We start from the raw sequence: 19,004 nt of genomic DNA, 5'->3' as shown, positions 1-19,004 counted from the left end.
CTGACCTCAGGTGATCCACCCACCCCAGCCTCCCAAAGTGCTGAGATTACAGGTGTGAGCCACTGCGCCCAGCCCATTTTCTCTAATTTTTAAAAGCTACTTTTTCTTATTTATTTATTGTTTCTAAAATAAATATTTTATTATTTTTTTAAAAAAATTCTATCATTCTCAGGTGTTTGATGTGGAAGGAAGATATTTCAAATAGTTCTCAGGCTATCATTTTGAAATTTGAAACGTGAGTATGACATTGAATCAGTTATGAGATTATTTCAACTGGTTTGATCACAAAAGCTCTAGGAATTTAAGGAAAGACTGAAGTAAGACTGAAGACTACAAATTCAGGAATAACTTTCAAATTACAACAAAGGACTGCTTCAGAAGTGGCACAACCACTGCCACTTCTGGGCAGAGATAACATGGATTGTTCCTCTGATGCTGGGGGCACCACTAGAACCTCTGCCAACACTGCTACTTCTGCACAGCAATGGACCACGTGCCTGTCACTGCCTAGCACCTGGATATCCATTACACTAGTTTCCACATGGACATCTCACACCATTGTGTCTGACCCAGAGCAAGGAAAGTTGGAAGGTGAGTTTCTGGCTTTCACCTTGGAAAGAAGCAAACTCATAAGATAGGAATGTCCTTAAACATAGAAAAGCAGCTTAAAAGGTTTACAGGGATGCCTTATAATCACTACTTGGTTATGTTGGAGGTGAAAAAAATTAAAAGTAAACAAGACAAGTCTATACACTTAAGGAATCAAGACTACAGTTCTCAATTACAGTTCATCAAGATAACACACACAGATGCCCTTGTTAGGGAATCTGTCACATAGGCATTCAACAAATGACAAATCAGTCAACCAATCAATAAAACCACAAACCACTGCCATAAAATGAAGCACGATTACCCCTTTATTCCAGACTTTTAGTCTTGCCTTTAATTCTCCAATGAGTTGCTTTGCTTTTTTGTTCAAATTTCCATATTTTACTTTATCACCTCGAATCTTCTGGTGCGATGATTTCATTTTACGGTACACGCTTGTCAGACCATGCCAGCTGCACCTACTTATGCCTTACCATCTCCTCGTCCACTGGGTAACAGTCTCTCCTGGAAAAGGTTCATTCTAGGTAGTTGGTCTGAATCAAGAATTTAAAGAGATAGAAGCATCAGTGGGCCAGTGATCCTCAAAACTGTCACTTGAAAGGCACAAATATATCTCCATTTTGGCATGCCTAAAGCTTTTTCCTATCATCTCAATAGTTCAAGGAGACAGGAAAGGGTGGAGAAACACACACACACACACACGTGTGTGTGTATATATGTACATATATGTATGTATATAAGTATATGTATGTATACATATATACACACATATATGTGTATATATATATATACATACACATTAGTGTGACAATCACTTAAGACTCATAAATGAAAAATAAATTTGTATGCTATATGCCACTGATATTTTTAAGGTTTTTTACACAGCAATAGCTGACTGACCCACCCATATGTATATATGTATACATATATACACATACATATGTGTGTGCGTGTGTGTGTGTATTTTCTTTCCTGTTTCACTTCCCCTTCCCTCACTTCTGTGTCCTGAACTCACACTTCCAAATAAACTTCCCATCCATGAACCATTGTCACAGTCTCCTTTCAGAAGGACCCAGGTTAAGATTCTCTCTCTTTTCCTCCTACCCTTCCTTCCTTCCTGAGCCTTTTCCTTTTTTCAGTGCTATTACCCATCTACTTTCACACTCTCACATATACATGTGTATATATATATGTGTGTGTGTAAGTACATATATATTTAGTGTTTCTCCACCCCTTCCTGTCTTCTTGAACGATTGAAATTCCACATGTGAAGTGAAATACAGAAAACAGCAGACCTAAGTTAATGATTTTTCTGGGAAAGACAAGGAAAAAGAAAATATAACTTTCCAACTTTGCTAATGTAAAAATACATTTTACACTTGTGTTTTTGGTAGATTGGGCAATAATGGTTAACCCACACTTTCCAAAATCTTTGGATAGACATTTACTGAACACTAGCCATGTTCCAGAACTGGGTTGGACACTGGGATAGAGTGGTAAGAAGTGCTGACATTTTACCTACCCAAATCTGCTGTATTTGAACTAGGTCTTCCAGTCAGATGATTCAAATAAGATCAAAATATCCGCTAATCTAAGAAAAAAGTTAATATCACTTCAAAAAAAAGGAAAGGCTAAGGGAAAAAAGAAAGAAAGGAAGGGCAGGAGGAAGAGAGAGAGAATCTCAGGCTGGGTCCTTCTGAAAGCAGATGGTGACAGTGGTTCATGGACGGGAAGTGATTTGGAAGTGTGAGTTCAGGACACAGAAGTGAGGGAATGGGAAGTGAAACAGGAAAGAAAAGAGCCATTTCCTTCCCTCCCTCACTTCCTTCCTTCTTTGTTCCTTCCTTCCTCCCTTCCACATTTCAAAATTCTTCTCAGTTAGATCAAGTATCCAGTCACCTGTGGCAGCCAATGGAAAATGGAAATGGAAGGAAGGGAAGGAAGGAAGGAAGGAAGGAAGGAAGGAACGAAGGAAGGAAGGAAGGAACGAAGGAACGAAGGAAGGATGGATCCTGGCAATTGTGATTTTTCTATCAGAAGCATCTAACAGAAACACAGCCCAAATATTTCTGCTTCTCCCACATTGGATAATTACAGCTTTTCTTTATTGATAATCTCATTTGATCTTCAGAACAACCCCATGAAGCAGGTATTATTTTTATTACAGTATTGTGCTTTAAAGTGTGAGCTGTGCTGTGAGACAGCTCGGAATGAAATACGGGCTCCATCACTCGTGAGCTTTGTGACCTTGGGCAAACTAACATGTTTATGCCTAAGTCTTCTTTAAATGGGCAATAATAAGTGCAACAACTGTTTGTTGTGAGTATTAAATGAGTTAATATTTGTAAAGCACTTAGAATTGGTCTGGCATATAGTAAGTTAGCTTTTATAAACACCTGTTTTTTGTTTTGTTTTGTTTTTCTGATGCTCTCAACTGTGGACAGATTTTGAATGCCTTCTGATGCATAAAATAGGAGAAGCACTCACATTAGCAGAATGACTTTGAAACTCTGCACAGTGTGATCCTCAACAGAAACAGTCCTAAACAAGGTTATGGGGGAGCCAAATGTGCAGGACCCAGCCAGGAAGACTTGGAACGAAGGGGTGGGGCTCAGCTGGGAAAGTGTGTTTTGAGCAAATACACATTTCACTGATCAACAGCTTCTTGCAGGATGTCCTCCCTAAGTCATTTCTGTAAAACATAAAATCTCCATTCTAGGCAGGGTGCCATATTTTTCCTTCTCTGCACCCAATGAGAGAGTGCTTCCTTCTCCCTGGCCATTTGCAGGGAAAATGAAGCCAAGATCCCATTTTAGTACAAATGCTCAACTTTTATGGAAATGTGTTTGGATAATTTACAAAGGACACCCCTCCTCTTCCACTCCAGTTGAGAGGTTTTAGAAACTCAGGGGGTTCTTTTCACTGCTTCCTACCCCAATTCTTTGTAGACTGGCAAAGAAGCTTCCTCTCCCTCACTCCTCAGCACCCCACTGATTCTACAATGTCTGGGAGGCCATCAGCATTTAAACAAAAAATGGTCCTCATCTGAAACCACAGAAACCCTATTTAGCACAATCAGGACTAGAGAGTCATTTAGAGAGCAAGCGCCTTCATTATAATGTGTGAAGCAGAGTCTCAACTGACTATGGAAGCCTTCAGCCTTGAAGGAAGAGAGGGGCTGGGAAGACAGAAAGCAGGAGGGACAGTAGAACATATAAGCCATTTTCCCAACTTGGGAGGTATATTTAACATCGGCAGAAAGCAATCATTGCAAAATGTGTATGTGTTTATTTATTTATTGGATTGAGTATACCCAGTCACCACTTTTTCTCTCTAGGGGCAACTGGAAGAACCAAAGAAAATGAGACTCACTCATATCTTGCTTTTACAGCTTGAACTACTCATATCAGACCTCATAAACACAAGTAATCTATTATATTCTCACCAGTTCTCACACCCACCCTTGGATTGCAATACAAATTCCATTTATATTCCTGACTCCTAAAACCAGAATGGACTCATGCTTCTGGATAGTTATAGCAAGGGTACCAGAAGCTGGCTGTCTGACTCATTCCTGCTTGCAAATTTTATCCATCTACTTTCACACTCTCACAAACACAGGCACACAGACCCAGTGGTCTCCTGTCCACTTTCTAGCCAAAGAATTTCACTCCTATTTCTTCAAAAACTATTTAAGCTTTCTGAGAATTGTGAAGAATTTTCTAAATAAAGTCCCCAAGAACCACAGATCTCTCCCATTTCCTCTATACACCCTTGTCTTCCTCTTATTCCCCACCTACATAACGACATGTTCCCTCATCTATCAAGCTCTGACTGTTTTCCTGTGCCTGTCCCTTTTTATTGATCCAAACAGGTTTTTTTTTTTCTTTTCCAATGGACCATGCCTGCCTTTCACGTTCCCACGCATATGAGAGCTGGGAGATCATCTCTCAAACTCCAGCCCTCTTGCTTCTCAGGCAAGACAATGAAGGCATGAGGAAAGAAGGGATTTGTCTGTTCCTGGATGACCATGAAAGTAATTATTACATTGTGACCCAGTATGCCAAGGTGCCAAAGAGGACAGAGATGCATCTTATACAAGTATTCAGTTTGCAAGTCTCTGAGTCATCTTGGAAGAAAAGGAGAGTTGACAACTTCAAGTGAATCCATCCAGCATGTTTATGCTGGTTGTGGAATATAAATTACTAATAGCTATAAGTTACCAGTGTGGGTTAGTGGGATCAGTCGCTGGCCTGGAGACACGGATTTGTAACCATACCTATAAACTTTATAAAAGTAAAGGAGAAGAAAACTGAATTTAAGTCAAGAAGAAAGGAGGGGAAGAAACAAAAATAAATCCAGCTTGCAGCACATTCAGCATTAACTATGAGGGGAGCTGGCTCTCTGACCTGCTTCCTCATAGTTGTTGGTACCTGTTGCCCCAGAATCTTGCAGACCCTGTCACAAGATTAAAATTCCCCTTAACGGCTCTATAGATAACAACTTAGGCATTGTGAAGCTTAAATTTTCTATTTGGAGATGTTCTTTCAGATCCTGCATACCAGTGAAACTACTAAGAAGAGGCTGACTCACTGAAGAATGCTGTTCCTACATTCTAATGATTTCATCCCCCTTAATACAAGTAGCCAATGACCTCAATTTCCCAGCCCCTCACTCTCCACAATCCCCTTAAAAACTCCAGCCCAGAACTTCTCAAGGAGCTGAATTTAAGTATCCCTCTCATCTCATTCAGCCATCCTGTGATAATTGAACTCTTTCTCTGATGCAAACCTTGCTGTCTCGATGTATTGGTATGTTACTGCACAGTGGGCATACAAATCTGTTGGTCTGGTAACACATTCAAAATTCATCTCTACTTCTAATGCCATGGGCAATTTGCTTATGCTCTCTGTGATGGTTAATACTGAGTGTCAGTTTGATTGGATTGAAGGATACAAAGTATTGTTCCTGGGTGTGTTTGTGAGGGTGTTACCAAAGGAGATTAACATTTGAGTCAGTGGACTGGGAAAGACAGACCCATCCTCAATCTGGGTGGGCACCATCTAATCAGCAGCCATCAAGGCCAGAATAAAAGCAGGCAGAAGAACATCAAAAGACTAGACTGGTTTAGTATTCTGGCCTACATCTTTCTCCCATGCTGGATACTTCCTGCCCTCGAACATTGGACTCCAAGTTCTTCAGCTTTGGGACTCTTGGACCTTCGACCACAGACTGAAGTCTGCACTGTAGGCTTCCCTACTTTTGAGGTTTTGGGACTTGGACTGGCTTTCTTGCCCCTCAGCTTGCAGATGGCCTATTGTGGAACCTTACCTTGTAATTGTGTGAGTCAATACTCCTTAATAAACTCCCCTTTATATATATGTCTATCCTATTAGTTCTGTCCCTCTACAGAACCCTGAGTAATACATTCTCCAAGTCTCCATTGCCTTGGTTTCCTCATCTATAAAATGGGGATATTGATAGAGCACTCATGAAGTTATTGTAAGGATTAAATGAGGTCCTACATTAAAATAATAAAAAAGTTACTATTTATTGAGCACTGAGCCAAGTGTTTTAAAATCCGTTTTCCAAAGAAAAACACCGAACCTCAGAGAAATTACATAACCTTGTCCAAGGTGACACAGGCACTAAGCAGCAGAGGTAGAACTCAAACCCCTACCTGTTGATGCAACGACAATGCTTCCCCAGCCTGTTACTCTGCTTACCATGGCATCAGATATCACTCTGCCCCATCCCAGGTTCAAAGGCTACAACATTTAAGGGTCTTATCTGCCTGTCTAAGCCACCGAACAACACATATCTTAGCACCTGCTGCTTTGCCTGTTTTCTTTAGCCATTTATAACCATATGAACAAACCTTTTAGATTTTACAAAAGCCAAATATGTGAAATTTATTGTCACCGATGATCCTGTTTCGAGGCAAGGACTTGTCAACACCTGGAACTTAGGGTGCAATTGGGCATATCTTTAGAGCTAATTTAATTTACCCAGAGTAACCAGCATGTTCAATTGTGACCGTGAAGCAGCCAGGCAAACCTTAAATCTAGAACAGCTGAATATGTTTTGGGATTTTTTTTTTTTTTTTTTTCCCTTCCTCACTCAGCTAGCAGCAATCAGTGCCAAGTGTCCAGCAAATGTCATCTAGGCGCTGGCCAGGCACAAAGTCTCCTGGGTAGTTCTGTGACCACATGGCCCTGTCTTGCTGAGCGTGGCTACATCTCCCCACTTATACCCCCTCCTTCAGTTCCATCTTTATTGTTCTGAGTTATTATTCTCCACAAAGCACTGAACTGGATTCTGAGTAGAGTGCAGAGATAATCATGAAGAGATCTGTACACTCTGGGCACTTAACATGTTATCAAAGTGGATTAAACAAAAATATAATTAGCAGTGTGCTTACCCTAACAGTTGTCCAGATAAAGTGATATAGAAGATGGAAGAACAAGGAAGGGTAAGGTACAATTATTATAGGAAAGAACTTACTGAGGAGGTAATATTGAGATGGGTCTAAGGGTTTACTTATCCATCTCTTCTTCCCAAGGTCATGACCCTGGGGGAGGGGAGGTTCTAACATCAGCCATGTTCTGTGCCAGAATCTGCCTAAACAATCCATTCTTCATATCTATCTGTTTTTTGTTTAGTACTAAAGGCTGACTTGATGGACATCCTCAAATGAGCACAATAGTCCACTGTATCTTTTCCAAAGTCTAAATAACTCAGTCTTCATTAGCACAATGTTGAGGATACCAAGTGTGATGGTTAATTTTATGTGTCAGTTTGACTGGGCCACAGGATGGCCAGATATCTGATTACACATTAGTTCTGGATATTTCTGTGAGGTTATTTCCAGAAGAGATTAGGATTTGAATTGGTAGACTGAGTAAAGCAGATGCCCTCCACAATGTGAGGGGGCATCATCCAATCTGTTGAAGGCTTAAATAGAACTAAAAGGTGGAAGAAGGTTGAGTTTGTTCGTTGTCTGACTGCATGAGCTAGTAAGTAAATCTTTTCCTATCCTTGGAGCTCCTGGTTCTCAGGCCTTCGGGCTTGGACTTGAATCTATGGCACTGGCTCTCAGTCCATTAAACTACACCACCAGCTTTTCTGGATCTCCAGCTTGCAGACAAGCAGATTGTGACATTTCTCAGTCTTCATAATTGAGTGAGCCAATACCTTATAATCTCCTACGTTAGATAAATATATAGATATATCCTGTTAGTTCTGTTTATCTTGAGAGCCCTCACTAACATACCAAGTGATATGGTTTGGCTCTGTGTCCCCACCCAAATCTCATGTTGAATTGTAATTCCCAATTTTGGGAAAGGGACCTGGTGGGAGGTGACTAGATCATGGGGGTGGATTTCTTCCATGCTGTTCTCGTGAGAGTGAGTGAGTTCTCATGAGATCTGATAGTTTAAAAGTGTGTGGCACTTCCCCAACCCCTTCTCCTATTCTGTCAGGGTAAGACATGCTTGCTTCCCCTTAGCCTTCCACCATGATTGTAAGTTTCCTGAGGCCTCCCCAGCCATGCTTCCTGTTAAGCCTGCAGAGCTATGAGTCAATTAAACCTCTTTTCTTCATAAATTCCCCAGACTCAGGTAGTTCTTTATAGCACTGTGAGAACGAATACACCAAATATTCTGTGTAAACCCATTCCTTAGGAGAAATACTTCCTGTTTTCCCCAAAAGCACAGTTGTGATAAAGATATACCCAATTTACAGTCATAAACAGGACACTGAATACCACGGAAGACAGCCAATTTATGGCTGGTTCAACAGCTTTTCTTGTTCCTTTACCTTCTTGTTACCACATACACGGAGAACTGGCCTGCCTGAGCTCAGCCCCATGGACTTCTCCCCCGACCCAGGCACACCTAGTGCACAAAGGCCTGGCACAGGCCTGCAACCAGCTGGTTCTCAGGCTTTTGCACGCGCTTCCGTTTTTCCAAGGTGCAGGTGGCTCTTCCTCAAATTGGAATAGTAAGATCTCAGATTTGTGCTTTGCATGGGCACGTAGAGGAAGCAGCCTCTTGAGTTCACATTGAGAACAGACTGTCAGGTTGAACAATCTTAAAAGGAGATATTTGTTCTTCTAATGCCCAGCCTCTCTCAACTTGTGTTTGGGTCTGCTCAATCCTCATGCAGACTATGCTACTCCAGTTACCTCTGCTCCTCATGAGCAGAAGCTAGCTGCCCAGCTGCTGAGAACATAGTCCATGTGTGAGAATGCCACTTCAGACCTCGGTAGGATTGTCTCCCAACTGGTTTATGCTCTGTTAGAGTGACACACCACCTATGCCACTACTTTCTTAATATATTTTTATTGATCTAAATAGATTCACTTCTGAAACTTAGCATGGTCCTAGGCAATAATATCTATAAAATCATAGTTTGATGTTCCAATTCTATATTTGCTATACATTGAAATAGATATATGACTGTCAAATTTTTTAAAAGTAATTGCCGCTCTACCACTTACGATCATTTGGCTTACCACCAGGGATGTGGGCAGACCACACTTAGGGAATTGCCTTCTGATGCTACAGTTCTATGATTATCACAGAAGAGGTTTGAATCTGCAAGAAGGAAGGGAGAGGTGGTACTAGTTCACTGAGGAAAACAGCACAGTGAAATAGATGAAATTAAAAAATGTAAGATAACAGCAGGAAGCACAGATTCAAAGGTTTTTAAATAGAGATAAGAGCTGCACTGATCTCTGGAGAGGAAAAAGTGTCCATTCTTGGCCTGTTTTTTCCAAGCCAGTGAGTAAATTTCTATTTGTGTTTAGAGAAGGGAATGTTGTTTTGTGCCCTTACTTGAAAAGAAAAGAAAGGATTTTACACATCTCTCTGTTTCAATTGGATAGAGAGGGCATTTCCTTTAATTTCCACCAGCATGTTTTTGTTTGTAGCTTGGGGTTGCCAGTTGAAAGAAAATGACAGCATTTTGCTGTACATATCAGAATGTGTACAGATGGCATAGTTTTTTATGAGACCTGAATCTATCTGTAAAGAAAAAGCCATGGAATACAATTAATTCACTAAATTTCAAACTCTATTTTTTGTGTGTGGGGGAACCAAAATCTTTTGTTTTTTGTTTTTGTTTTTGTTTTTTTGAGATGGAGTTTTGCTCTTGTTGCCCAGGCTGGAGTGCAATGGCGCCATCTTGGCTCACTGCAACCTCCACCTCCCAGGTTCAAGTGATTCTCCTGCTTCAGCCTCCCGAGTAGCTGGGATTACAGGCGCCCGCCACCATGCCTGGCTAATTTTTTGTATTTTTATTAGAGACAGGATTTCACCATGTTGGCCAAGCTGGTCTCAAACTCCTGACCTCAGATGATCCACCCGCCTCAGCCTCCCAAAGTGCTGGGATTACAGGCATGAGCCACTGCACCAGGCTGAACCAAAATCTTAACGGAAGTTTTCAAAATATGCTTAGCATAACCATAAAATATGTTGGCATTTTCTCCATGTATATCTACCGTCTCCCCAGAACACCATCTAGGTCACAGGTCTTGAAACTTTCCATACCATAAAAGGAGGAGCAACTCTGGGGAAAATTATTGATGTTGACAATATTTGTTTTTAATTATCCAACTCTGAATTTGAACACCTTTTCCTCTTTTGTAGTCTCCAATCCTCATGATACACGACACACATTCTAAAGGTTCCTGGAAACTTTTTCCATCACCTTGACAAAGATATTCACAGGAAAGCCTCTGACCTCATTCACCCCCGATAATATCTGCCACTGTTCCTCCTCCAGACACATTTGCAGGCTCTGACCTCACAGGAAGGATAGAGTGAGGAGACGAGAGTGTGGCATATTGGAAAGAGTATTATATTTGCAGTAAAACGAGCTGAGTTCAAACCCCAAGTCAGACCATGTGACTAACTGCTTGTCTTAGGGAAAGCAAACTTTTCTTCCAAACAGAGCCAATTTACCTGGTTTGCTCTGGTGGCAGTTGAAATATTTTTGTGATTATAAATAGTTGTTGCCCCAAGATTCCTTGGTGTACCTTCCCATGGCCCCAGCCATCCTAACTTGCTCCTGGGGAACTCCAGGACCTATGGCCAGAGTACCTCCAAATCGTCTCTGCCTGTGTTTTTCCAATTGCTAAATATGTCAAATATCTTTCTTGGTCTCTGTGCCCTAATCTGTATAATGGGGTAATAATAATACAAACCTCAAGGATTATCATGGTGATTAAAAGAAAAAAAATGAAAGCATCTGAAATTTAACAAATGATCAACAAATGCTAATTGTCTTTGCTCTTCATGTCAAAAGGATTCAGCCTTCAATCACAGAGAACTTTCTTTCCCATTATTACAAATAAGTATTTTCAAACTCAGGACTCAAAAGATACCCCTCAACACACACACATATACACACAGACACACATAGGGCCCTTGTCACAACAATTTTGTAGCCCAAAGATCAGAGGGCCTTGCTAATGTCACAGCCCTTAATACTAGGCAAATATGATGATAGCCTTGAAAATACAGAGTTCCATGTCACCAAAATCTTAGCTCTCTCATGTCCTTCCCTCCCTGCCTCTAAACTCCCTTTCATGGGCTGTCAGATCAATTTTACAGCATGTTTGAGTAAGCTGATGAGGACCTGAGGGAGCAGCCCCAACTCTGCACTGGACTAATGAGGAGGGGAGCTGGGTTGCTGAATGCAGGGGAAAGCAAACTCCTCTTTCCTGTTCAAAATATGTGCTGAAAAGAGACCATTTTTGCTCAGTTGTGCAGTTTTTTTAATGTTCCCCAGTCAATTGAGCCCAAAAGTATAAATCCGAGCTTATGCCTGACACGGATTTTTTTCAATCAGCCTATTTTAATTGCATAAATGTTCATCTTTGTCTTGAAGGGAAAATATAATACATAGTTCAGTGGAAAAGGATGTCACCTTGATTGGTATAATTAAGACTTTCTGTTCCAATGCACTGTATAAAGACCAGAAGCCATACAGGTTTTCTCCTTTCATATCACCTCTAAAAACTAAAGACCTTTAACCCCAATCTGTTTTTCCGTTTTTATTTTTTTAATTAAAAAAGAGTATATGCAGAGGCAAAAAAAATTACTTATATTGCTGCCATTAAATATCCTCATCCTTCCCAAACTCTAAGGTGATTTTTTTGTGTGTTTTGCATGTATTGCAATAATGTCAGTATCAAGGAGGAGTCTCCATGGGGTGACAGAGTGGAGGCCTCCTCTCTTGCCAGGAAACTGAGAGTTTGCTTTGAGCTCTCTTGCACACCCAAAGTTGCCACTGGGTTAGAAGTTTCTAGTTGTTTTAAGAAAACATGGTTTAGCTTTTATATCAATTATAAAACATTGTTTAGACCCATCATGGGTTGAATTGTGTCCCTCCAAGAGCTATTATTAAGTCCTAACCCCCAGCACCAGTGAATCCAGTGAATGTGCCTTCATTTGCAAATAGTCTTTGCAGATGTAATCAAATTAAGAGGAAGTCATGCTGGATTACAATCAGCAAAAATCCAATGACTGCTGTCCTTATGAGAAGTCCACGTAGAGATACAGAGATGCAGAGATGCAGATGCACAGGGAAGAAAGCCAGTGAAGACAAAGGCAGAGATGGGAGTGATGCAGCCACAAGCCAAGGGATGCCAAGAATTGCCAGCAATCATCAATTGCTGGAAGAGGCAAAGAAGGATTCTTCTCTAGAGCGGCTAGAGGGAACATGGCCCCACCGACACCTTGATTTCAGAATTTTGGCATCCAGAACTGTAAGAGAGTAAATTTCTATTGCATTAGTTCACTCAGTTTGTGGTAATTTCTTACAACATCCTTAGGATACTAATATAAACCCAATTCCTAGGATTCAACAAGGAAAAAAGAAGATAACACTGCCTACCATTTTGTGGGAACAAGATAACATGGCCAAGGCTCCTAAACAGGTTGAAGTACGTGCTGCTTTTACAAGCCCAACCTGAGGAAAAAGTGTGACTGCATCCTTGTTCCCTGCAACAGTCTCTTCTGACTTCCTCCAGAGCATTCTGGTGCTTCAGATTCTCTTTGCCATTTTATTTTGTTTTATTTTATTATTTTTTGAGACTGAGTTTTGCTCTTGTCGCCCAGGCTGGAGTGCAACGGCATGACCTCGGCTCACTGCAACCTCCACCTCCAGGGTTCAAGCGATTCTCCTGACTCAGCCTCCTGAGTAGCTGAGATTACAGGCACCCACCACCCACCTAGCTAATTTTTGTATTTTTAGTAGAGATGGGGTTTCACCATGTTGGTCAGGCTGGTCTCGAACTCCTGACCTCAGTTGATCCACCGACCTCAGGTGATCCACCTGCCTCAGCCTCCCAAAGTGCTGGGATTATAGGCATGAGCCACCACACCCGGCCCTCTTTACCCTTGTAGAATTTCCAAGTTACAGGACTGGGAAAAGCCAATTTGCAACCAAAACACACATATTGGGGTCAAACATACATGACGTCGAATCCCTGCTCAGCCACTGATTAACTCTGTTTTCGCAGGGTGTTAGGAGATCTCCCTGAGCCTCACTGGCCCATTTCCAAGTTGGGGAGAGTAATGCCAACTTCACATGGTTTGGAGATGTTTACATAAAGTAATTTATGTTAAAATTCTGGTATCCACCAGTTCCACAGTAAAATGTAATTTCCCTCATTTCCCCTTCTCAAGAGACATACATACTATTAATTAAAGATTGCAAGTAGACGTTACACACTGCTGGTTAAAATGCAAATTAGTTCGGCCACCATGGAAAGCAGTCTGGACATTTTTCAAATAACTAAAAATACAACTACCATTTGACCCAGCAACTCCACTACTGGGTATTTACTCAAAGTAAAATAAATTGTTCTTCCAAAAAGACACATGCACTCACATGTTCATCCCAGCACTATCACAATAGCAAAGACATGGAATAATCTAGGTGCTAGTAAGTGGCAACTGGATAAAGAAAATGTGGTACATACACAACATGGAATACTATGCAGCCATAAAAAGAATGAAATCATGTCCTTTGCAGCAACATGTATGCAGGGGAGGCCATTTATACTAAGCCAAGTAATGCAGAAACAAAACCAAATACCATGTGTTCTCACTTACAAGTGGGAGCTAAACTCTGGATACACACAGACACAAAGATAGGAAAATAAGCACTAGAGATTCCAAAGAGAGGGAGGCAGGGAGTGGAAAAGGATTGAAAAACTGCCAATTGGGAGTACTGTGTTCACTACCTGGGCGACAAGATCATCAGAAGCCCAAACACCAGCATTATGCAATATACCCAGGTGGCAAACTTGCACATGTACCCTCTGAATCTAAAATTAAAAATAATAATAATAAACATTGCAAGAAGATGAGTGCAGAGAAGTCAGATAAAACAAGGAGAAGATTAAGAGTCCCTGAGGACAGAGGTTGTCTGGAACCCACCATGGGCCAGGCACTCGGCTAAATCCTTTACAAGTGCTGGTTCAGAGGCTCCTCACGTATAACCTATGAAGCAGGTGCTATTTCGTCCCAGTTTTCAGGAAAGAAACTAAAGCTTAAAGCAGAACTTATCTGCCACTACACTATTAATATTTTCAGACCACATAACGTTTTATAAGTTGGTGCTGTTCTGTGCATTGTAGGATATTTAGCCACATTCCTGGCCTCTACCCATTAAAACAGCCCTCTCCCTCAACTGGGACAACTGAAAACGCCTATAGACATTGCCAAATGTCCCCTGGGGAGCAAAATTACCCCCGTTGAAAACCACTGGTTTAGAGAGATTAGCTATTATTCCAACATCACAAAGCCAGCATAACCTAGGTTTTCAAAACCTACGTGAGTATTGTTAGCCAAGAATGACAGAGAAGGTGATCTTTTGCCCTAAAACAGAGACAACTGACTTTTCTCCCTGTTGCCCTGGTAATGCTGGCTTTTGATGAGAGCAGAAGGAGGTACTGTTTATATGCAAGGCAAATAAGAAGACAGAGTGAGGATACAGGGCTTGAATCAGGAAGATTCTTCACGGGTTTTAAGGTAGGCAGTAGAAGATACACTAATCCACCCTGCAGTGTGGGGCAAACTCTCTTTCCATATTAACTGCATTTTTAGATAGTCTCATAGTCAACTGCATTGAAGAAATCCATGCCCAGCCTGACTTGCAGCTACATGTGGCCAGGTGACGTGTATCTGGCCAATGGGATGTGAGTGGGAGTGATGCTGGCTTCTTTGGAGACATGTGCTTAAAAGGAAGGCGGATCCTTTCCTGCTTAGTCTCTGCTCCATCCTGATGCTTGGTGGATGGATACAGGATGAGCCATCTAGCACCATGTAGACAAGGACAACGTGTTAGAGATGGCAGAGCAACGAGACAGAAGCTGCCTGGGCCCTGGCAATTTTGCAGACCAGAACTTCCAGACCACCTGAACTTTTAGATGAGATCAAACCAAGCTTCCATCTTTCTTTAAGCCACTGTCATTTTGGGCCTCTGCCATCAACAGCTGAGGCAATAGTTAGATCTCTCTAATACAAGGTATAGATGCCTTCAGAATAATACACTAGGCCTTGTGAAATTTGCATTTAATAGGGCCCATACCTTCACCTAAGTAATTACTCAGTGGTTGAAACCCAGCTACTGATGAAAAATAGGCAGGAAAATAGGTGGAAAGCAGTCTTCCTAATCTCTCTAAATCATACTATATGAGTAATTATGGTAGGTAATATTCATTGAATGGTCATATGTGCCAATAATTGTTATAAGTGTTTCATATACACTCACTTATTGAATGCATACCTCAGTCCCCTGAAGTATGTATGATTATAATCTCCATTTTAAAATAATAGAAACTGAGGAAAAATAAGATGAAATAAGTTGCCTAAAGTCACCCAGCTTATAAACACAGGGTAGAAATTTGAGCTCAGCCAACTCCATGCCAAAATGTCAAAACCTGCACCTTCAACTCCTGCTCTGCCAACTCAGATATCCACCCCTCGGTGCAGAAGGATTTAATGATTTTCTCCTTCTCTCTAGTTCTACAGACCTGTGGTTCCATAGATCCCTCGGCTGGAGGACTGCCTTTCATATGTTGTATATGTAATTATTTGGTGCAATCACCATGGTTATTAGAAATAGGTGACTCAGCCTTAAATATCTGATAGTTATAACCGAATACCAAGCAAAGTAAATGTTACTCTCTGGGGGAAATCTCTAGTTTAATAACATAGGTGGTAAAACAAAATTTTACAGTTGTCCTTGATGAGTCACTTTGGATAGGAAAGTTTTCTAGATAACTAAAAATTTAGTCATTTTAGCTATAGAAAATTTAAAAAACTTATGAAGGACTTCAACTTTGGAGAAGATGGAGTGAATGTGCTTTTTCCTATTCCTTCTGTTAAGCACACTTAAAACCTTGGATGTTATAGGTAAAATAAATATGAGAAGGCTATGAAAAGTAGAGAGAAGAAGATAGGCCAGCTAGGGAACTCAGGGCCCAAGCTCCTTCCCTCATATATCCCAAACTGTTCCTAAGGAAGCCAGCAGCCCGTAGATGTGAGCAAGCACAGACAAAATAAAGCCCAACAGAAGCCTGCTTCCTCCACCAAAGAACCAGGAACAGGGCAACCCAACAAGCGAACCAAGCTTCCATCTTTCAAGTCAGAAAACTTCCAGAAAATAGCAGCTCATCTCCAGCCAAACCCAGCAGAAAATTCTGTGCTCCACTCATGTCTGCAAAAGTCCAGTAAAAAGCCTAGATTTCTATCCCAACTGAGATGTAATGAGGCTCCCCAGTTCCCCACTGGGAGAAAGAGGATATCAAAGGAGGCTGAATATAAAAATAGGACCTTCATCTTTGCTGGGCAGTAGTAGCACCCCACATGGAAGTAACTGGGTGCACCTCCCACTCCACACTAAGTTGGTGTCCGAGGAGGCTTAGTGGAAAGTTAGGATTTTCAATACAACCCAGTGGTAGTGGGGCTGGCCCTCCACCTCTCCACCACGATGTTGGTGGGGGTTATGTGGGGAGAAGTAAGAAGGTATTCCTACCTCTTCCAGCCAAGGAGGTATCAGTGGAAGCTCAGAAAAGATCTGGAGCTCTCACCTTACTCACCAGTAATGAGGACCCTCCCAGCATTGGATGTCAATGGAGGCCGAGTGGGGAAGTGGAACTTCTTCCCACACCTGACAGTAATAAGGCGGCACTCACCCCTTCAATTCAATAATACGATGGTGTCCACTTTCATCACTCTTATTCACCACAGGGATGGAAGTTCTAGCCAGTGCTGTAAGGTGAAAACAAACAACAACAATGGAAATAAAAGACATGCAAGTGAAAATGGAAATAAAGAAATTAAAACTGTCCCAACAGACACTGAAAATTAAAAGGCAATAAATACCACTTGCAATTGAAAAATAAAAATGCTTAGTTTTAAATCTAACAAAACATACACAGGGCTTGTATGCTAAAAATTACAAAACACTGATGAAATAAATTACAGATCAAAATAAATGGAGAGACATGCTGAGTTCATGATTTGAAAAAAGCAACACAATAAATACATCAATTCTCTTCAAATTGATATGCACATTTAATGCGATTCCCATAAAAACTCCAGCAAGATTTTTTGTAGGCATAGATAGGTTCATTCTAAAATTTAAATGGAAAAGCAAAGGAACTAGAATAGCTAAAACCATTTTGCAAAATAATAAAGTGGAAGGAATCAGTCCTCCTGATTTTAAGACATATTATATAGCTACAGTAGTTAAGACTGTGTGGTCTCGGTGGAGGGATAGACACATAGATCAATAGAAGAGAATAAAAATCCAGAAATCGGTCCACAAATATATCCCCATCTGATCTTCGACAAAGTTATACAAAAGCAATTCAACAAAAGAAATGGAGACTTTTCACAAATGGTGTTGAAGCAATTGAATCCATAGGAAAAACAATGAAACTTGACCTAAGCTTCACACCTAATACAAATATTAATTCAAAATTATAAACTTAAATGTAAAACATAAAGCTACAAAACTTATAAGAAAAAACAGAGGATAAGAATCTTCAGGATTTAGGGTTAGGCAAGGAGATCTTACACTTGACAGCAAAAGCATGAACCATAAAAGGAAAAATTGGTAAACTGAATTCCATCAAAAGTAAAAGCTTTTGTTCTGCAAAAGATCCTGTTGAAAGGATGAAAAAACAAGCTACAGACTGGGAGAGAATATTTGTAAACCACATAGCTAGTAAAGAACTAATATATATATATATATATATATATATATATATATATATATATATATATATATATATATACACATATATATATGTAGATATTTCTCCAAACTCTGAAGTTAAAAAAAAAAAACCTAAACAATCTAATTAGAAAATGGGCAAAGGACATGAATAAACATTTCACTACAGAAGATATACAGGTGGCAAACAAGCACCTGAAAAGATGTGGAAGATCATTAGCCATTAGTCAAGTACAGATGAAAACCACAATGAGATATCATTACACACTTATCAGAATGATTGAAATTAAAAATAGTTATAATACCAAATGCTGGCGAGGAAGCAGTAAAACTGAATCACTCATACATTGCTGATGGGAATTTTAAATGGCACAGCTACTCTGGAAGAGTTTGACAGTTTCTTACAAAACTAAACATGTAACTACCATAGGACCCTGGAACTGCACCCGCTAGGCATTCATTATGAAGTAATAAAAACATATGTTCACATAAAAATGTGTACATGGAAAATTATAGCAAATTGATTCATAATAGTCCCAAACAGGAAACAACTCAGATGCCCTTCAATGGGTGAATGGTGAGACAAACTGTGGTATATCAATACCATGAATACTACTCAGCAATAAAAAGGAATGAATTATTGATATACACAATGACATGAATGAATTGTCAAGGATCTATGCCAAATGAAAAAAGCCAATTCTGAAAGCTTACACACCATAAGGCCCTTTTATAAAACATCCTCAAAATGACAAAATTATAGTAATGGTTAAGAAAGAAATGAAGGGCTCTGTGGTCATAAAAAGGCAGGAGGAGAAATACCTGTAGTGATGCACCTGTTGTGTATCTTGACTGCATTTGTGTTAATAGCCAGTTGTGATCTTTAGTATAGATTTGCAAGATGTTACCACAGTAGGGAACTGGATAAAGGGTACATAGGATCTTTTTATATTATTTCTTACAACTGCACATTTATTATAATTACCTCAAAATTAAAAGCTTAATTTAAAGCAATTTGCACATTTGTGAGTCTTTCATAGTTACCTACTTTCCCAATATATTGATTGTATTTTAACCTTCTCTAATGACCCAATGTCTCCTCACACTGTCTTCCTTTTACTTTTGTTTTCTATAGC

General features: G+C 40.3%; 1 long non-coding RNA gene across 2 annotated transcripts in view; it reads right to left on the bottom strand.

Annotated features, from left to right (window-relative positions):
• The window catches only part of LOC105374505 (uncharacterized), a 190,382-nt gene that overhangs the window by 107,984 nt on the left and 63,394 nt on the right, over positions 1-19,004 (bottom strand). For both annotated transcript variants that reach the window (XR_007058068.1, XR_007058069.1), the window contains exon 2: positions 16,823-16,898. This is a non-coding gene — a long non-coding RNA (uncharacterized LOC105374505). The remainder of the gene's footprint in view (positions 1-16,822; positions 16,899-19,004) is intronic.

This window comes from Homo sapiens, chromosome 4 (genome assembly GCF_000001405.40).
Source record: "Homo sapiens chromosome 4, GRCh38.p14 Primary Assembly".
Classification (NCBI taxonomy): domain Eukaryota; kingdom Metazoa; phylum Chordata; class Mammalia; order Primates; family Hominidae; genus Homo; species Homo sapiens.
The sequence above is the reverse complement of the archived record's forward strand: the minus strand, read 5'-3'. Positions and strand labels throughout refer to the sequence as shown.